This window comes from Homo sapiens, chromosome 11 (genome assembly GCF_000001405.40).
Source record: "Homo sapiens chromosome 11, GRCh38.p14 Primary Assembly".
NCBI classification, from domain to species: domain Eukaryota; kingdom Metazoa; phylum Chordata; class Mammalia; order Primates; family Hominidae; genus Homo; species Homo sapiens.
The window spans coordinates 35,725,911-35,747,384 of record NC_000011.10 but is presented as its reverse complement, the minus strand read 5'-3'; the positions used below and the strand labels follow the sequence as shown (position 1 = coordinate 35,747,384).

The following is a 21,474-nucleotide window of genomic DNA, read 5'->3' as shown; positions in this document are numbered from 1 at the left end:
TTAATTTCTTATAACATCACTATCTTCATATACACAAACAAAAATGGGATTAGAATAACTGTCCTCACAGAGTTGTTTTAAAACTTTGAAATTATATATGTAGATCTAGCTCCTAGTTAATGTTCAATACACAGGCAGGTATTACTGCTGGATAACTATTAACCCTGGACAATCCTGAAAGGTAGCGAGAAGTTGGCAGCTTAGTGAGTTTTAACTAGTCTTTGTATGAGAGACAATAATACCTGTACAGGTGGGAGAAAATGGCAGCTGTCCCAAAGTATCTAGACCAAGATGCATCTAGCAGCTGAGAAATGCCTCTCTCCCTGCTTTTGCTGCAACTCTGTCAGGTTCTCCCTCTTTGCACTGTTTTTCTCATGCTCAATCTCACTTCCCTCTAAATAGAAATGATGAAACCAGAGGGTAAGACATGTACTCACCAAGAAAACAAAATGCCTTTCCATTTTATAACCACATTGCGAACCTACAGGGAACAACTGGTAGTGGTGCTAAGAAGGAATGAGGCATTTATATAAGAAAATGTTTTTCTTCGCTGAACTCCCTGCTTATAGACAAGAAAGCATTTATTTTATGAACCTGCAACCATTCATGTTTAGGTCCTGGGTCCAAACAAGTATAGGCACATGAATTTGCCTCATGGTTTGTAAAACCTCACCATTTAGGGTACTCCAGTTGTAACTCAGCCTTTGGCTACATTTCTTAAAGTTCTGAAGCCACCTCCCTACAGTTCTAATTTTAAGAAAATCTGCACTCATCGACTCTGAACTTCACATCATCTAGGAAAGAAAACAAACAAACAAAAAACTCCACCAGCATATGCTGCCAGCATGAGTTACAGATGCCTGCTGTTTCAGCTTCTGGATAAAGAGGTAACTGCAGTTCAGTGACATAGAGCTACAAAAAAAAAAAAAAAAAAAAAAGAAGGACCCCCGGAAGCTGCTGGGAAAATAGAATTACTGACCTCTTGCCTGCCTCTCACTGGGAAAAAATGTGACAAGATGCTTAAGACCAGCAGGTTTCTCCTAAAATGAAAAAGACACCATCACCACCAATTTTGCTGTGGCTGTCCACAGGTGAGGGAGGCATAACCAAGGACATCAAATTTAGTTATTCTTAAAACATAGACTGAAGTTGTGTGACTTCCTAAAATCCACTCTGCTTAGTGCTAATCCAAAATAGCTATGAAGACAAATAAGGAAGAAGAGAATTAGGCTGCAGCTAGACTCCTCAGCATTGGATCTAACTCAGGGACCAATGTGGCATTCCTTCACATCAACTTAATTGTTTGATTACCTTTTAAGGAAAACCTCTAAATCCTTAAATCTATTTGGAAGATGGTGCTTCAATGTTGCTTTTCTCCATTAATTTAGAAGGAACTAAACTACAGCAGGTCCTTGAATAGAGTCTTTTCATTCAACTTTTTTTTTTATAATGTTGATGAGGAAAAATAAAGGCGGGGGGATTCCCAGTCCGGGCCACTGTGTGTGGAGTTTGTACTTTCTCCCCATGTCTGCATGGGTTTTCTCCAGGTACTCTGGTTTCCTCCCACATCTCAAAGATGTGCACCTTAGGTGAACTGGTGTGTCTAAATTGTCATAGTCTGAGTGAGTGTGGGTGTGAGTGCAGCCTGCAATGAAATGGCATCCTGGCCAGGGCAGGTTCCCACTTTGTGCCCTGAGCTGCTCCAGCCACTCATGACTGTGAACTGGAATAATGGGGTAAATAATTATCTTGCTTGTTTTATTAATCGTTCTTAAATCTTTCTTAACTCTTGTTTATATCAACTGGTCTATGGTAAAATTGGTTTCGTTATACATCATTTCACTTAAAGCTGCTGTTTCCAAGAACCTATGAATGATGTTAAGTGAGGACTTACTGTGCTTTCCAAACTTGACTTTAAATTAGAGGAAGACAGGAGAAAATTTTTCCAATCTATCCATCTGACAAAGGCCTAATATCTAGAGTCTACATGGAACTTAAACAAATTTACAAGAAAAAAACAACCCCATTAAAAAGTGGGCATGAATACGCCCTTCTCCAAAGAAGACATACAAGTAGCCAACAAACAAAAAAGCTCAATATCACTGATCATTAGAGAAATGCAAATCAAAATTACAATGAGATACCATCTCACACCAGTCAGAATAACAGATTCTGGCAAGGTGCAGAGAAAAACCTGTTGGTGGGAGTGTAAATTACTTCAACCATTGTGGAAGAGTGTGTGGTGATTCCTCAAAGACCTAGAACCAGAAATACCATTTGACCCAGCAATCCCATTATTTAGCATATACCCAAAGGAATATAAATCATTCTATTATAAAGATACATGCATGCATATATTCATTGCAGCAATATTCACAATAGCAAAGACATGGAATCAACCCAAATGTCCATCACTGATAGACTGGATAAAGAAAATGTGATACATATACACCATGGAATACTATGCAGCCACAGAAAGGAATGAGATCATGTCCTTTTCAGGGGCATGGATGGAGTTGGAAGCCATTATCCTCAGGAAACTAACATAGGAACAGAAAACCAAGCACTGCACATTCTCACTTTAAGTGGGAGCTGAATGATGAGAACACATGGACTCATGGGGGGAACACCACAAATTGGGGCCTGTCAGAGGGTTGGGTGTGGGAGGAAGAAGAGCATCAGGAAGAATAGCTAATGGATGCTGGGCTTAATACCTAAGCGATGGGACGATCTGTGCAGCAAACCAGCATGGCACACGTTTACCTATGTAACAAACCTGCACGTCCTGCACATGTACCCCTGAACTTAAACACTGAAGAAGAAATAAAAAAAAAAACAGGGTGCCCAGTTAAATTTAAATTTCAGATAACAGTGAATGTTTTTAAATATTTCTTAATTTTTAAATGTTATTGACAAATAAGAATTGTGTATATTTATAGGATACAATGTGATGTTTGATATGTGTAAATATTGTGGAACAATTACGTAAAGCTAGTTAATATATCCATGACTTCACATACTTATTTTTTGTGTTAAGAACATTTAAGATATAATCTTTTAGCAATTCTGAAATACATAATGAATTTTTTAGCATGAGTATCTTCCAAATATTGTGTAGCACATACTCATACTAATTTTTTTTGTTGTTTATATAAATTCCAGTTAAAAAGGGTGTTCTGTATTTTATCTGGCTACTCTAATAGGGAAATGAGCAGAAAAGCCCTAAGAAGGCAAAACAGCTGTCACAAATCCCTGGTATACAGGTACTCTGAGATAATTTATCCATTGAACAAACACCTCCAACCTATTTTGTCATGTGGTTTAGTGTACACTAGGGCAAATATGTACAGTTGTGCACAGGGTGCTTACAACATAATTATTTACTGGGCACACCATTCATAATGTTGACATCAAGTTTTACTTATTTTTAACTATTCTCTGGCATATGATAGTATCCTACTCTAACAAAGTCAGCACATTACGACAATTTTTTGGCAGATGGAATTAGGCATCTTGAGGAAAGGGCACCTTTTTCTAGTTCACGCCAAGGTATCATGGACATGGTAACCCTGTATCCATGGCAGATTAGCATAAAATTTGCTGCAGTGTTTTTCAAACCATGGATTGTAACCCACTGATGAGCTGGGAAATCATTTTAGTGGGTCACAAACATTAGTGATGATAATGATGGAATAGAATATCAGTGTCTTTTATGTAATAAACGTGGTGGAAAAAAAGAAAAGAAAGAATAAATTAGAGGAAGGCAGAAGCTATCAAAACAGACACAAATCAAATAGACAATTCCCTTCTACAACTACTTTACCTCAGTTGCTTAGTTTTCCAACTAAAAGAGCAACCCCCAAAAGGGGAATACTTTAAATGCTTCAAAACATATTTGTCCTTTAAGTATAGTAAGATGTGAGATTTTGATGGGGAAACAAAAATGTAAAGAAAGCAATTTACCCATAACAAATCATGAGATGTGACTGGAGGAAGAAACCTGTAAGATTCAGAAGTCTGTCCATTTCTTCTATAAGGGGGCAATGCTGTAGTCAAGAGGTAAAGCGTAACAGAAAACAGTAACAACTTCTGGTGCCTCAACATGGTACACTTCACCCTTTACAAGCTGGACTCAACCCACCTTCTAGTCTAGTCTCCTACCCCAGGCCAGTCATGCAGTTATTCACCATTCCCCGCACAGCACATGTGTTTTCACTCCTTGAGCCTTCCTACTTACCTCTTTGCTTAGACAGCTTTCCTGTTTTTCCAATCTGAAGAAGCCTAGACCTATCCATTTGTCAAGGTCCAGAAGAAACGCTATATTTTCTGATTCTTTATCCTGAGTTAGTTGGAACCTACTCTACATCCAACATTTTTTTCAGAGAATCATTATACTGCAATAGTTAAGAGCTTGCAGTCTGGAGTCAGACTACTTGAGTTTGAATGCTGGCTCTACCACTTTTTAGCTGTGTGACCTCATGAGTGTATAACCTCTCTGCGACTCAGTTTTTTCATTCAAATTAGAAATAAAAATAATATATTAATGATATTAATGTATAATTAATATTATAATTATATTTAATATATTAATATAATTGTATATTTATATGTAATATATAATACATAACATATAACATTAATATAATTATATTTAATATAATTATATTTAATATAGTTAATATAATTATATTTAATATAATTATATATAATACAATTAATATAATTATATATAATACAATTAATATAATTATATATAAAATACAATTAATATAATTAATATAATTATATATAATACAATTAATATAATTAATATAATTATATATAATACAATTAATATAATTAATATAATTATATATAATACAATTAATATAATTATATTTAATATAATTATATATAATACAATTAATATAATTATATTAATTGTAATTAATATAATTATATTTAATATAATATTAATATATTAACATTAATTATTAGGACTGTTGTCCTATATATATAGACCATATATATATATATCCATATATATAGATAATATATGTAAATGTTTAAAATACTTCCTCACATATAGTTGGCACTCAATGCTTCTTTATAATTTATCATAATAATTATTACACTGCACTTAAATATAAAATTTAAATTGCTGGCTAGATGTGGTGGCTCATGCCTGTATTCTCAGCACTTTGGGAGGCCGAAGCAGGAGGATCACTTGACCCCAGTAGTTCAAAACCAGCTTGGGGAACAAAGTGAGACTTCATCTCTACAAAAAATAAAAAAATTAGCCAGGCATGGTGGCATGAACCTATTGTCCCAGCTACTCGCTGATGGGGGTGGGAGGCTGAGTTGGGAGGATCACTTAAGCCAGGGAGGTTGAGGCTGCGGTGAGCTGTGATTGTACTATTACACTCTAGCCTAGGTGACAAAGCAAGTCCCTGTCTCATAAATAAATAAATAGATAGATAGATAAAATTAAAATGGTTTATTTAGCTCTCTTTCAAACTAGATTTTGAGATCTTTAAATGCAGGAACAAAGTCTTAGTTATATCCATATCCCTAAGGCCTAGCAGAGGGCCTGGCATTAGGCGCTCTAAGATGTTTGTTGAAAGAAAGAATTCCTCTGCAATCTTTGTTGTCTGAGAGGTTAGGGAATAGAGCTCCTAGTGGGAAATGTTATCCTGATAAGTTCCGAGGCCAAATATATAAACAAGGTTAGCCTGCCAAGCATCGTAACTACTGTACCGGATGGCAAACAAATTGATTAGAGTTAAACCATAGCATGCAAAGTGGCATCCATGCCCCTTCCTCTTGGGCCCTTTTTTCTTAGCATTATAAAGTAGGTAGATGTATGTTAAAAATATAGGCTGCTTCTAGTCAACATTTCCAGGTGGAGGCAGATGCAATAAGCTAGAGGCACTTCAGCTGAATTTTCCAGCTGTGAATGGAATCTCTGGTTAATATACTAACATGCACAAAATAAAGTTGTGACTCTTACGGGCAAATTTCTGAATCAATTATTTTAGCAAGGAGGTATGCTTTGGGTATAGACAGGCAGCACAATGCATAGTGTGGCTTCAACTTTCATCTGACTTAAGTGAGGGATAAACAATCCTTAGCATGGAAAAATAAGGTCAACTCAGGTTCCATAACAGGGAAATGTGACAATTAAGAGACTCTGTATGCTGAAGGCCAACTTAGATGTTGGCACCCCACTTTGCATAATAAGCAGTCCTGATAGTTCCATTCCATATCACAAGTATCACAGCCATTTTCTTCAGCTTCCAGATAGACTTCCTGCAATGAAGACAACGCAACAACCAAACCACAAATTTGCAATCAGAAGACAAAAGAAACCTAAGCGTATCACTAACTTAGTCCTCTTTCATCTCTACAACCTAAATAGAAAGAGAAATGCCATATCTAAGAACATATGGTTATTCATTTAGAGGGGGAAAAAAAGTACCTAGAATACAGACCCAAGATAATTTTTAAAGAAACAAAATTGAGGAAAAAAAACCCACCAAATTATAGAATCTGTAAGCAGGTTGTTCCCACTCCATATGTGATAAAAGACTTGTATTCCTTCTCACAAGGATATCCCCAAAACTAGGTGGAGGAAAGAGTGAAGAGGGGTGAGGATAATATTTACAGGGAACTAAAAATAAGAGTACAAGGATGTTAAATGACTTGCCCAAGGTCACACAGTCAGTCACAGACAGAATCAAAAATAGAAGCTAGGTCTGCTGACTCTCCTTCAGCTCCTACTCCTTCAGAACACGCTTCCTGTTTGATCGCAGAATCGGTATGGGTCAGATTCACAGTGATCTCAGCAGGAGCTTTTTGCCTGAATAACAGCCAGCTTTGAAGATGAAAAATTCTACAGAAGTTCCAAGTGTGGTGTTACTATTAAAAAGCCATTTTCCTCTTAGGTTAAAAAAAATTACAGAAAACCTCAATAGCAAATCAAAATCTAATCCTGATCTTCCTCCTTCTCCTCTAAGCACAAGAGTTTAAGGGTCTTTTCCCTCTCTGACTTCCTACCACTACACAACAGCTTTTACGCCAACAGATCCTATTGCCACCCCCTCTCCTAGGATATATATTACTTCTCAGCAGGCTCCAGCAGGAGTAGAGAAGGAGCCAACCTGTGAGGGAGTGAACACAAGATCTCTCATAATAGCACAGAGAAGGCAGAAAATTGATGCCAAAAGTGTAAATTGCTTTTCTGCTTAGGAAAAAAAAAAAAAATCACTCTGGGCTTCAAAGGTACCTTTTTTTTTTTTTTTTTTTTTTTAGACAGAGTCTTGCTCTGTCACCAGGCTGGACTGCAGTGGCACGATCTCGGCTCACTGCAACCTCTGACTCCCTGGCTCAAGTGAGTCTCCTGCCTCAGCCTCCCAAGTAGCTGGGATTATAGGCACACGCCACCATGCCCAGCTAATTTTTGTATTTTTCATAGAGACGGGGTTTCACCATGTTGGCCAGGATGGTCTCGATCTCCTGACCTCGTGATCAGGGTCAGTCTCCCAAAGTCAAAGACACTCTCTTAAATGATGACTCCACAGCAGTTAATACACATGTTTTACATATTAGGACTTTTGTTTCTCCATGCCCTCCAAGAATTCTTGCCAGCTATATGACTGTGTATCATGGATCTGAGGAGTAAGATACCAGTTTGAGAGGCATCAGACAGCTATTCTGTGGAGTCAAAGGCAGGCTTAGTTGGCTGCTCCCCAGGGAGCACCCCTTTTTCTGCTAACCCTCAGAGGATACTGTGTGAGAATGAGACAAAGACATTCCCTTTATAATGACAGAGGCTGAGAGCGGAAGCAACCTGCAGAAAACAGGGGCCACAGCAATTCAATGTCAAAGCAATTGAAGAACTCCCAGGTTAGAGGAACAAGACCAGTCATATTCTGAGGACTGTGTGTGAATCCTCTTGGCTTTTGTATAGGGTCACAGAGAGAAGCATGCTGCCATTTTGAAGATAGTCCACATGGTGGCTGAGAGCACTTGGTGGTTAAACTCTGAAGCCAGACTAGATTCAAGTCATAGCTCTGCCACTTACTAGCCATGTGATCTAAGGCAAATTAATCTCTCAAGGCATTAATTTCTTCATTTGACAAGTGGGCTAATAACTATATCATGAGGTTTGCATGTAGATTAAATTAGAATATATATAAAGCACTTTGGACATAATGAACTGTCAATAAATGGTAGCTATGATTATGATTGTGGTAAATTAGCAGAATAACTGCACAATGAAATTTAGGGCAAGGAACAGACATGACTAAAAGCACAACATTTGGTCCCCTAATATCAAACAACTGGGAAATCAAAACAGAAAAGAGGAAAAAAGGCAAGACACTCCAGCTAGTAGAGAGGGAGGAAGATCCATTATAGACAAATATGTTTCCATAGGACAGGAGTTTTTCTTTTTTCCTTCCACCATGGAGACTGGTTGGAATCTAATTCTCTTTGAACTTCTATGTAGGCAGTAGAGAAGTGGCTGTGTGAAAAGAATGCTAGCAAAGGAGACACAGGCATAATGATCCAAGCAGAACTGGAACTCAGTGTCTCCGGCTTCATTTCTCATCCATCCCTTGTGTAGGGACTCCCACACTTCCTTTCTGCGTTCCTTATACATCAAACTCTAATTTAGTACTGTCAGCAATACAGAAGCCCTTGGAACAAAACTCTATTTGGCTTGTTGAAAGGGTAAAGTATGTATCATAAATGAGAAAAATTTCAGATCAAAGGCAATTTGCCTTGAAGGGTTAATCAGAATAAATTGAGCCAAATGGTAGTTTAATACAAATAAAGTGAATTGAACCAACAAGTAGGAATTTAAAGGTTAAAAAAGAAAATCTGACTCCTCCTCCTCCTTTCTGACAAATCAGAACATGCACTTATTTTTGGTACTTATTGTACCAAAAAGGGATCCGTCAACTCCTAGTCCAATGGACTCCTTACTGACCTCCATAGCAGCCTGGCTCAAGGGAGATGGCCTGACATCTTGGTTACAAGAAACTCTATGCCTTTCCATTATCTTGTCAAAATGATACAAAGGTATCTGCAATTAAACTCTAAAGCCAGAATCTCACACTGAACAGTATCTTTAAAGGGAGTTAATCTCTTCATACAGTCCTTGTATTCTTCTAATCAATGTGACTCTGGCATGTGGCTATAAAGATGAGTGTGTTCACCCTAATTCGGCTCTCCTAAGACAGAAATGCCACTGCTATCCTGTGGAGTCTGCACACTACCTCTGCCAAGGTATTTTCTTTATCATGGTCTTGTTTGAACTCTTTTTCTGGGAAAGTAAGTCTAGGGCTCTGACTGGACTGGATTTTAAGGAGCTAGAGCTAATCCTGAGAGAAAAGGCGGAGGAGGGCCAAGGAGATAGTTTAAAGTGCATCTAAACCAAAGGTCTGTGGAAAATGATAAAAACCGAACCAGTAACTAGAAGATATTGATTTAGGCTCCCATCATCGATAACCTAGTCTAACTAGTCTCCCAGGCTCTTTTCTTATTTTTCAATTTTTTGTTTTTATGAGATGGAGTCTTGCTCTTGTTGCCCAGGCTGGAATGCAATGGCACAATCTCGGCTCACTGCAACCTCTGCCTCCCAGGTTCAGGCAATTCTCCTGCCTTAGCCTCCCGAGTAGCTGGGATTACAGGTGTGCGCCACCACCCTTGGCTAATTTTTGTATTTTTGGTAGAGAGAGGGTTTCACCATGTTGGTCAGGCTGGTCTCCAATTCCTGACCTCAGGTGATCCACCTGCCTCGGCCTCCCAAAGTCCTGGGATTACAGGCGTGAGCCACTGTGCCCGACCTCAATTTTTAAAATTTATTTTTTATTTACTTATTTTTAGAGACAGAGTCTTATAATGTTGCCCAGGCTGCTCTTGAACTCCTGGGTTCAAGCAATCTTCCCACCTCAGCCTTCTGAGTAGCTGGAATTATAGGTGCGCATCACTGTGCCTGGAAGTCTCCCAGGCTCTCGATCCACCTCCAATTCATTTTCCATTCCATAGGTAGGAGACACTTCTAAAATGCAAATCTGTTCAGGTTAATTCCTGTTTAAAAATCTTTAATAGCTTCCCATTGCCTTCAGTATAGCGCTTAAATGCCTTAAGAAGGTCTATAAGGCCCTAAATGATCTGGGCTCTGCTGTCTTTTTTCCATTCCTCTCTTGTCTGGAACTGGCACACAATTTGTTTACTCTACCTAGAACAACCAACCCCTGCTCCAACCTTTCAGATCTCTGTTTATATATAACCTTTTCTGGTAAGCCTCCCCTTATCCTCCAAGACTAACTTAGGAGCCCTTCCTAAAGTAGCCTAAACTTATCAGAACACATTCCCTACCATGTAATTGCCCAGTTACATGTTCGCCTCTCCCACTACACTTAGGATCTACAAGAGTAGGAACTATGCCTGCTTTAGTCACCATGATATACCCAGGATGTAGCACAGTGCCAGACACACAGTAGGTCACGAATATATGTTAAATGAACAAAAGGAAGGGAGTGAAGAGTGAGGAAGGAAGGAAAAGAACCACAACAAAGAAGGAGCCTGTTCCTGAGAATGGTTGAAAGATGGAGTCTGAAGTGGTTCCCTGAAACCCTGTAGGTTTAAAGCAAGATGCCTATGCCTTTTAAAGTTGGGTGCCTGTGGCTTTAGCCATAGTAGACAAGGAGCTAGACAAGATCTTGTTGTTCCAGAGCAGATGTTAAAAACTATAGTTTCCAAGGGAAGAACACACCAAGAGATGCAGATGTGGGACAACATTTGGCGCTAAGAAAGAGGCTCAGGATATGGGGAGGGAAAATGAAAAAAGAGAGGAAACTGTTTTTGCTAGTTTGTAAAAAGCAAACACACAAACAAACAAAATAACAAAGAAGGGTCAAATCCTGATTCCAGTAAGGTAACCTTTGACAATTCATTTAGCTTCTTTTAATAAGCGACTTGATAGTGATTTTCAAACTGAGTTCTGAGGAACCCTAGGTCACTGCAGAAGCTCCTCAGGGTTTATTTTGAAGAATAGAGAAAGTTCAATGAATGCTGCCCCAACTTTGACCAGAGAAAAATTGTTTTTTACACATTGAGGTTCTGCTTAAAGTCCATTTCAAAAAAGGGTGCTTCTGCTAAAAATAAAGTTTGAATAGCAGTGGCCTGGATGACCATTCTGATACTTCCCAGCCTTAACAACCCTTGATTCTATGTGACAGATGGGACCCATCTGGACATTGCCTTTTACTTTGTACAAATATTCCTCAATTGTGTTGATGACACAGCTGTAGCTTTTCCCAGAGTCTGTTTTCACTGCTTGAGAAGAATGACAGGAAGGGTAAGTAAACCACAGTCCAGGTTCACTGCAAGGCTCAGACAATAATAAAATGCACTTCTAAACTGCATTCAACTGTGGCAATACAGAAGCACAAAGAACATTTTTTTTTTCCTAAACAAAGTTTTGTATACCTGTACCCTAGGATTCATCATATAGGTGTCTTGTGTCTGACACAAAGATATTATAGGTCAAAAATAAAGAATACTAGATCTAGAGCCCATTAAAAAAATCAATCTAATTCCAATCAAGAAAGACTACAAAAATTTATCTAGTCAGTCCACCTGATACCATTACCATTACCATAATGATACTACATTACCATTTAAATGTAGTGCCTATTCTTCTTAACAAGGTATTCTGAATGTACAAAAGAATACAACAAAGTTACTTATCTGAAGGTTACAGGCAGGAAATGACATAGATGAGAGGGAGACGGGAGTCTTACAAAATAAGATCTTCAAATCCCAGGCTTAAGATAGAGATCCCTTTTCTGTGCTGTTCCTTGGCTGTCTATATTTCATGGAGCACTAAAAGGCCACAAATGTCACTCTACTTCAATTATGAGAAAAGACAAGCAACAATGTGATCTTACCTGGGTCCTTCCTCATCGCCCTGAAAGACAAACAGAAAGAAACAGTATTAGAAATCACTGTTGGTACAGACAGAGTCAGATTTCTTTCTTTTCCCTCCCCTCTCCCAACCTGAATGCATGGACTATACATTTATTGTAACAGAGACAAACCAACAGACATCTAAAGGCTAAGACAAGAGCTAATATAATCCTATGTTCAAACTGCCCAGTGGAGATGACCTGATAATTTGCCCTGACAAGCAGAGCAGAGAAGTGAATGCACAGACCTAGGAGGCCTAAATAATTGCCTTGCCTTTTTATTTGTATGGCTGGCAGTATTTAGTTCTTAGCAAAGTGAGAAACCCAAAATAGAGGCACGTCTTAGACAAAAGCTAGCCAGTTCCAAAAACATCAAACTGTTTCCTTCAAAGACTCATTTCTGCCTTGTTCTAGCATTTTTCATCAAACATGAACACTGCAATTCTAATATAAAGAACACTGTGGTATAAAGGGCACTGAACTGGGACTCAAGAAATTGGGATTCTAGTCCAAGCTCTGTTACTTATTAGTTATGTGTCCTTGGGCAAACATTAATTAATCTGGACTTTGGTCTTCTCCTCCGTAAGTGGTTAGTTCTGGCATTTGATGATCCACATCATTCTTCCATCAAACAATGGCTCTTCTCTTTTTCTTGCCCACTTTTCAAAAACAATGTGTTAACATTATTTTTCCAGGTATGGCATTCTCTCAACCTAACTTTATCAGAAGTGATCACAGCAGATTCCTTTGAGCTTCCTTCTGTGATCAAATTAGATTTTTCAAATAACTCTCAAGCCTTTCCCAAGGGACCTCATTCATCCTTTTGGTGTCAGCGTATCTTTTATATCCTTCTTTTTAGCCATTGAAGGGTAGTCTCAATAGAGAATGTACATTCTGGTTGTACTCCTCGGAGAATGAATGAATGAATGAATGGTTCCTACTGGTATAAGGCAGAATGAGCTCTCAAGTCCGATGTTCTGGGTTCAAGTCTTAACCCTATCACTCTACTGCTCTAATAGCTTACTCATGTTATTTTGCCTTTCTTAACTTCAATTTCCTAATTTGTAAAATGGGGTAATAATTGTCTCTGTATCATAGGATGAGTATGAGGATTAAATGAAATAATGCTTATAATCATCAAACACAGTGCCTGTGACACAGGATGTATTTAATAAAGGCTATATATCAGTATCAGTAACAATTCAGTAGGATTCATTAAGAAGCTACTATATATATATATGCTAACTAAGGAAAAACAATCACTCATAATGATCTAACCTTCTAGGATTTTCGAATCAGGAGCATGAGAAACAGGCAGAAAGAAAATGAACTATTACTAAATGTGTTATGATCAATATCAAAGACATAAACAGAATAATATGAGAATCAACAGGGAAGTTATGAACACTGCCTCTCCTGGAGAAGGTGGGAAAAGCTTCACACACAGAAGGTAACATTGATATTGCCACTTTGAGGGATAAATAGTATTTTCCCAGGCTGACAACAGAGAAAAGTGGGAAGAACACTGAACTAGCAAGAGCAAAGGCAAATTTCTAAAAATGTGTTGTTCAAGGGACCTTGAGTTCTGTGAAACTACAGAATGGGGATGTGCACATGTGTGTTTTGGGCAGGGCGCTGGGGGTGGTATAAGGTTGGAACTGAGGGCAATGTGGGGTTGAGCGTGACTGAGGTAAAGGGAGACTGCCAGGGTGCAAGCCTGTAAAGTACAGCTGCAGCCAGAAAGGTGATTTAAATCAAACTAGCCATTTGAGGTCGAATAAGAAGGGCATTTTTGGCAGACTGTTAAAGATCTGCAATAGTGGGAAGGGCGTTAATCATCCACACTCCAACTAGAGGGAAGTAGGGCGAGTGGTAGAGGGAGGGTATAGGGATGGTGGAAAATTTCTTCGCATTTTTATCATCTGATATGTCTCATGGGATCTATAATATACCAATAAAAAGTTATATAATTTAAATTTAACATGAGTTACATAACTATGAATGACATAATTATATCTCAACACAAATTTTTCAATTATTTTTGGATGTTTAAGCCTAATTGTCTAAGATAACTTTATGGAAAAAATATCTAAACTTTCTCCCATAATTTAGAGCAAGTCCTCCTCAAAATCACATACCTTGGTGTAATGATTAAGAGACAGGGTTTCTCAGTTATAATATAAAAACATGGTCTCAAATTCTGGTTCATTAATCCCAAAAGTGAAGCTTTTGGCAATTTTCTTCTCCAAGGTTCAGTTTCTCCATCTGCACATAAAGATCCTAGTTCTTACCTCAAAGGGTCACCATATGGATTAAAATAAATGAGAAAATCTGTGTAAAACACTAAGCAAGTGTCTAGTACCTTGTAATCGTTCAACAAATAGTAGCCATTATTTTACTTTCCTTGAATTGTTAATTAATAACATTTCTAGGGGAGAGCGGGGAAGGACAGAAAAGATGGGACACAAAGTTTTGCTATATGTTCATCCAATTCTACTGCTTATAGATGTATGCTTCTTTTCAGAAACAATGGTCACTGTTACAAAGCAAGAATATACACACACATATGAATTATAAAGCCGTTTTGAATAGGTTGGCACGGAGAGGATTGCTAACCTTGCTAGTAAAAGATATGCATGTGATGTTCCTGCTACCTGAAATGCACATCCCTATTCTAAAAACCTAGCTAATTCCTATCTATCCTTTAAGATCAAGCCTTACTCGAAACTTCTTCACTAACATCTTGAATAAGTTAATCCTCCTCCTTTCTCCCACATTTGTAGGGTTTGCCACTCTACACTAGTACTTAGAGAAGAAAACTGACAATGACAACATCAAACAGTGCCTCCCTCTTTGGATTTCAACTCCTTGAGAATAGAACTTGTGTTTTGCTCATTTCTGTATTCACCGCACCTAACACAGCACAAGGCTCATAGTAAATAATTATTCAAGATATAGGTAAGCTTTAAGATTAATTTCTACTCCTATTATAAGCAAATTCTGGTTTCAGAGAATATCAGAAGTGAGAGTCTATTAAATACCAACTTCCATTTAAATGACTTGTTAGATTAAGCACTGCTCCCAAATCCCTAATTATCACAAATGCTCTTTGTGATATCTGATGGCAGACTGCACTCTTGTGCAACCTCCCATTTCTACCTCCACCAGTGGAAATGTTGTTCACCAAGAATCAAACAAGGCTGTTTATATGAACTTGTAATGATGACACATTTAATTAAATAACAAAAAGTGAATGCAAGAGAGATAACTTGCTCACATAAGAACTAAGTTGAATGCATCCACAGAATTTAATAAAGATGAATTACTTAAAAATTGTTGTCAATTTTGGTGTAGGTGAAACACAAGCAAAATACTAGAAACAGTAAGTTATAAGAACTAAGATTCTGCATTCAGCTTGCTTTGAATGGTATCACCCTCACTATAGACAGTCTGAAATTGGACCTTATAAATGGCGCAAAATGGGTATGGTTTAGCCAGAAACATGACATTTAACTCTAATTAGCAAACCCATATTTTCAAAGTCCTTGCCTCAGAATAAAAAAAAAAGTACAAATATGTTTCAAGTTTAAAATAAATGGTTATCATATGCATGTATCATTTTTAATGGTTTACCCATCTGAACATACTTTTTCCAATATTAGCTCATTGCAACTCAGTATTCTCCTTACCAAACTGGACAAAAGACAAAAATGCTCATGACATATAAATAAAGACACACCAATTTTTAATACTTAGCTTTATAAAGAGTTTTATAAAATGATGTAAGTAAATTCTGCAAAAAACAGTGAGAAAAAAAAATAAAGGAGAAGGGAATACTTTTCAGTTTGTTTTATGAAGCCAACATAATCCTAATACCCAAACCTGACAATGGCATTATAAAAATATATAAACCAATATGCCTTATGAACAAAGACACAAAACTCCTGAACAAAATATAAGCAAACTGAACCCAGATTATACATCATGGCCAAATGGGACTTTATCTCAGAAATGCAAGGTTAGTTTAATATTGTAAAATTAACCAACATGATTAACCATTACAACAGAATAATGAAAAAAATGCGTATGATCATTTCAAGAGATACAGAAGATATATCTCACAAAAGTCAACATCAGTTTGTATAAAAGCCCTCAGCACATTAGGAATAGAAAGGCACTTCCTGAATCTGATAAAAGGCATCTACAAAAAACATCATACTTAATAGTAATATACTGAATCCCTTCCTTCTAAGATTATGAACAAGGCAAGGATGTCCACTTTTACCATTTATGTTAGACATTGCACTGGAGGTTGTAGCCACTGCAGTAAGACAAGACAAAGAAATAAAAAGCATAAAGATTAGAAACAAAGAAAGTAAAACTGTCTCTATTTGTAGATGGCATAATTGCTGATATAGAAAATCCTAAAGAATCTATAAAGCCACTATTATAACTAATAGGTGAATGTGACAAGGTTACAAGATATAAGGCTAATATCTGCAGTGAGCCGAGATCACGCCACTGCACTCCAGCCTGGGCGACAGCAAACCTCCGTCTCAAAAAAAAAAAAAAAAAAGATATAAGGCTAATATATAAAAACCAATTATATTTTTATATACTAACATAAGCTGAAAAATGAAATTTAAAAACAATTCTATTTTCAATAGTACTGAAAATATTAAATAACTAGGAATAAATTTAATAAAAGCCATTAATACCTTTAAATGAAAACCATGAACCATTTCTGAGAGCATGTAAAAACAGACTTATAAATGGAGACATATGTTCATTCATACTGCTGTTCTGCAGAGCTAATGTGTCATTTCTCTTTAGCTACTCTGCTTTCAAGATTTTTTTTCTTTGTCATTAGTTTTCAGAAGTTTGACTCTGATGTGTCTGGCTATGGATTTCTTAGTTTATCTTGCTTAGGTTCACTCTGCTTCTTAAATCTGTAGGTTTATGTCTTTCAGCCAAATTTTAGATATTTTAAGACACTATTACTTCAAACTATTTTTTCAGCTCTACTTTCCTTTTTCCCCTCTTGACACTGGTGACATGTATCTTTCATTATTGTCCTATAAGTCCCTGAAGCTCAGTTCAATTATTTTTCCATGTTTTTTTGCTGCTGTTTAGATTGGATCAGTATCAATCTATCTTCAAATTCACCAAATCTTTCTTTCGGTTTGCCATTAAGCCCATCCAGTGAATTTTTGGTGTCAGTTACTGTATTTTTCAGTTCTAAAATTTTCATTTGGTACTTTTTAATATCTTTATTTCTTTATTGAGGTTTTCATTTATTTCCAGAGTGCTTGTAATTGCTCACTGAAACATTCTTATAACAGCAGGTTAAAATCTTTGTCTTTTAATTCCTACATCTATGCCATCTTAGAGTTAGCATATATCAATTCTCTTTTCTCCTTAGAATTGAGATTTTCATTTCATTTTATTTTTGAGACAGGGTCTTGCACTGTCACCCATACTGGGGTATAGTGCTGTGAACACAGATCACTGCAGCCTCAACCTCCTGGGTTCAAACGATCCTCTTGCCTCGGGCTTACAGAATTGAGATTTTTATTGGTTCTTTGGTCTGTATCCTGGACATGATGAGTTATATTATAAAAACCTAGTTCCTATTTAAATCTTCTATTTTAGCAGTCAACCTGTTTAGATTCAGAATGCATGTCCTGGATCCTTTTTGTGAACTATGGTTCATATGTCACCTTAAGTTTATAAAGCCTCTACAGTGCTATTCTTGTCTGCCCCACTCAAATGACAGGACTCCATTCTACATTCTCCACAGAGCTAGTTGGGGAGGAGGAGGGAAACCAAATCATTACTACAGGGCAGGAGTGAATGATAAAATTCCAATAACTGACTCAGCTGGGGAAGTGCATAGCCTAGTTAATGCAGGGGTGAGAGGGAGGAGTTAGAGCTCTATCTACAGTCTCCAAAACGAAGAGGTACTACTTCCTCCGTACTATTACTGCAGGGTACGGCAGAAGTCAGAGTTCCACCTACGGATGCATAGGAGATGGGTTCCACTCATTACTGGGAGGAGCAGGGCCAAAGGTAGAAGTAAGAGTTTCACCCACAGGCTCCATAGAGAAAGATACCTCATTAACATAGGGCATATATAAAATGAGTGAGTTTCACTCACTGGCTCCACTGCTGCGTGCCAATTGGGGTTGAGGAGCAGTGCCACTTTTTTCATGATGTTTGCTTCCAGAAGCAGGCTTTTCTTGGGTATTTTTTTTTTGTCTGTGTGTATTAGTGTTTCCAGTTTGTAGAACACCCAGGCTAGCATACATAGGAAGTAAAGAAAACCCCAGGGAATTCACTGCCTTGTATCCTCTCAAATCCCAAGGTCCCTGATCAGTATGCCATCTTTTTTCCACCTGCAAGAGTCTTTTGGTAGATGATTTCAGCATTTTTGCCCAGAGATTTCTACTGTAATAAGTGAAAGGAGTAAAATAGAATGTGTTTACTCCATCTTGCTCAGAACCAGAAGCTGCAATTTGCTTTAAATATGCCAAAAATAAAATAGATCAGTGAGTGGAAGGTTGAAAAGATGGCTAGATATGTAATGAAGCAAGTACGGCAAAATGTTAATAGGAGAATCTAGGTGGTAGGTACATAGGCATAATCTGTAAAATCCTTTCAACTGTGGTGTATGTTTAAAAAATTTTATAATAAAATGTTGGAGGGAAGGTCTTATGGCTGAATTCAAAATGCAGGTGATTTTTGATAAATTCTATACCACAAAAAGAACATAATTCCTCTGATGACTGAAAGACAGGTACTAGATATTTGCTCTCACCAATAAGTTACCAGATTAACTGGAACAAGAGGCTATTAAATAATAACAGCTCTTTGTAAACACTCTAGTGGCTGAACGCTATCTCTGTTTTTAATAGCTCATTTTGTCTGTAGCCTGGTCCTTAAGCCTTGTCAGCTCTTGCATCCCTTTAAGAGTAATTCCATCAGAGTTAACAAGCATAGTACAGCTGAGGTGCTTAAAGGACAGCTAATGTCAGAGAAGGACTAAATTCATAGATTAAAATAAAAGAGAAGAATAAACCCCAAAATTAAACTTTTTTTTTTGAGATGGAGTTTCACTCTGTCTCCCAGGCTGGGGTGCAGTGGCTGCAATCTTGGCTCACTGCAACCTCCACCTCCTGGGTTCAAGCGATTCTTCTGCCTCAGCCTCCCAAGTAGCTGGGACTGCAGGTGCTCGCCACCATACCCAGCTAATTTTTCTATTTTTAGTACAGACAGGGTTTTGCCATGTTGGCCAGGGCAGGCTTAAACTCCTGACCTCAGGTGATCCTCCCACCTCGGCCTGCCAAAGTGCTGGGATTACAGGCGTGAGCCACCACGCCTAGCCAAAATTAAATTTTTATTTTTCAAAGAACAACCTAATCAACATAGGGAATAAATGAAGGGGTCGAACTTGATAGGAACTGTGGACAGAATTATGCTGTCGATCCCTTGAATTAACTCTGGTTGAACCTTTTGTTTATTAAGACACAAACTGACCATCTTGACATTGTAAAGGTATGCAAAGCTGTCTAGAACATGGATTCTTCTCATTTTCCCACAGATACAGATGGGATGCTTAGCATATGTCTTATAGTAGGGGGAAAGCACAGGCACTGAAATAGCACAGACTTAAATCTAAACCCTGGCTCTATTTTCTACTGACTAAATGATATTGGGTCAGTATCTCTGCAGTTCTCTGTATCTCAAATATCCCATTTGTAAAATGGAGTTAATGCTGACGTAAGGATTAAATGAAATGATGAATATAAAGTGCTCTCTTGCCTATCTAGAAACTTATGTAGGCACATAATTTCTCAATTATGGGGAGAATAAAATGAAAAGAAGAAGAGTTATTCTTTTCACACATTGATGAAAATTAATCAAAAGCCCTGGATGGGTATAGCAGATACCTTTCAATGGTTTCTTACATTTCCTGTCAGGATAGCTTGGAAATACCTGCCTCCTGGATTACTTTGGCTCTTCTACTGGCCAGTTTATTCTGTGGCCAGGCTCTCTCAAGCCAAGGCAGGACGTCCAGTTAAGGATGGACTTGCTGAGTCAGCAACAGTCCTAGAAAGTCCACAGGACTCTCCTATGTTTTTTTTCTAGAAGGACCTACCCTAAACCTATCTGGCATTACCTTCACTAGAATTGTCAAATTATGAAATCTGATTAATAGTAGCCTCTCTCTAGTGGCTGAAATATAAGTTTTTTGGTTTTTTTTTTTTTTTGAGACAGGATCTCACTCTGTCACACAGGGTGGAGTGCAATGGCACAATCACAGCTCACTGCAGCCTCAACCTCCGGGGCTCAAGTAATCTTCCTACCTCTCCTGAATAGCTGGGACTACAGGCAGGTGAGACCATGTCTGCTACTTTTTTATTTTTTTTTTGTAGACACAGGGTCTCACTATGTTGCCCAGGCTGGTCTCAAACTCCTGGACTCAAGCAATCCTTCCACCCTAGCCTCCCAAAGTGCTGGGATTACAGGCGTGAGCCACTGAGCCCAGCTTGTACTTTTTTTTTTTAATGGCTACCTTAAATAATTTTTTCAAAGTAGATTCAAAATGCCTAAATATGTTGTTTGGTAAAATGCCTAAGACCCTTTTATTCCCGTTAAAAATAACAATGAATATGACAACTAACATTTGTATAGTGATTCAACATTTACCTTGTGTCTTTCATTCATAGTTTTTTTTTTTTTTTAATCTTACAATGCCCTAGTGCACATGCCATTCTTAATCCAGCAGTTATGCCTCCAATTTATGCAGCTGGCTCCATATAACAACCAGCTTGAGACACCTTTTCACTATGTACAAAGTAAGTCCAAAATCTTTCATTCTGGCCTGCTTTATGCTCTACTTCATGATTTGTTCTCATTCAGCCCAGGTCTATGATGACTTTAAAGGCTCATTTCACAACTTGGGGTCTGTCGCTTGCCCTCTTCTCTGGCTGTAATTTTTGGCTTCCTTTCTTAATTGTGATTAGTATCTGCCCCCACTGACTATACTCCTTAAAGTAATGATGGATAAATAATTTGGTAGGCCCAGCCACTGAGTAAACTAGTGGCCAATACTTCCATACTGGTTTATACACCATGTGAAACACTTATACTCTACCTAGACTTCAATTCATTCACGTTCAGGGACCACATGGGGTCTAACAAATATGGCATCAGTTTCCTCCTATTTCTCTTGCTACTAATAATTATGGGCTTTTCCTTTACCTCTGCCTTTGGCTCAGCTGATTCATTAGAGGTATCAAGTTGTTCCTTGGCTTGGGCCATCTGAGTCATCAACCTATCCATGTGGGATTGGATGTCTGCCAGTATCTCAGTCACATGAGCTGTGGCCATTGCCTCTTGGATGTCCACTAGATGAAGGGCCTTCTGCTCCTCATCAGCAATCACTTTCTGAACTTTCTTAAATTCCTGCTGTATAAACATCTTCATTTGGTCCCGAGTTACCTTTAGAACAGAG

General features: G+C 37.9%; 1 protein-coding gene across 2 annotated transcripts in view; it reads right to left on the bottom strand.

Annotated features, from left to right (window-relative positions):
* TRIM44 (tripartite motif containing 44) overlaps positions 1–21,474 on the bottom strand; it is a 155,233-nt gene that overhangs the window by 70,623 nt on the left and 63,136 nt on the right. Inside the window, exons 3-4 of one of the 2 annotated variants that reach the window (NM_017583.6) lie at positions 21,222–21,461; positions 11,940–11,959 (exon numbers count right to left, since the gene is read on the bottom strand). In NM_017583.6, coding sequence (NP_060053.2) covers positions 11,940–11,959; positions 21,222–21,461 — 260 coding nt within the window. The remainder of the gene's footprint in view (positions 1–11,939; positions 11,960–21,221; positions 21,462–21,474) is intronic. The other variant, XM_006718254.2, reaches the window with a different exon arrangement.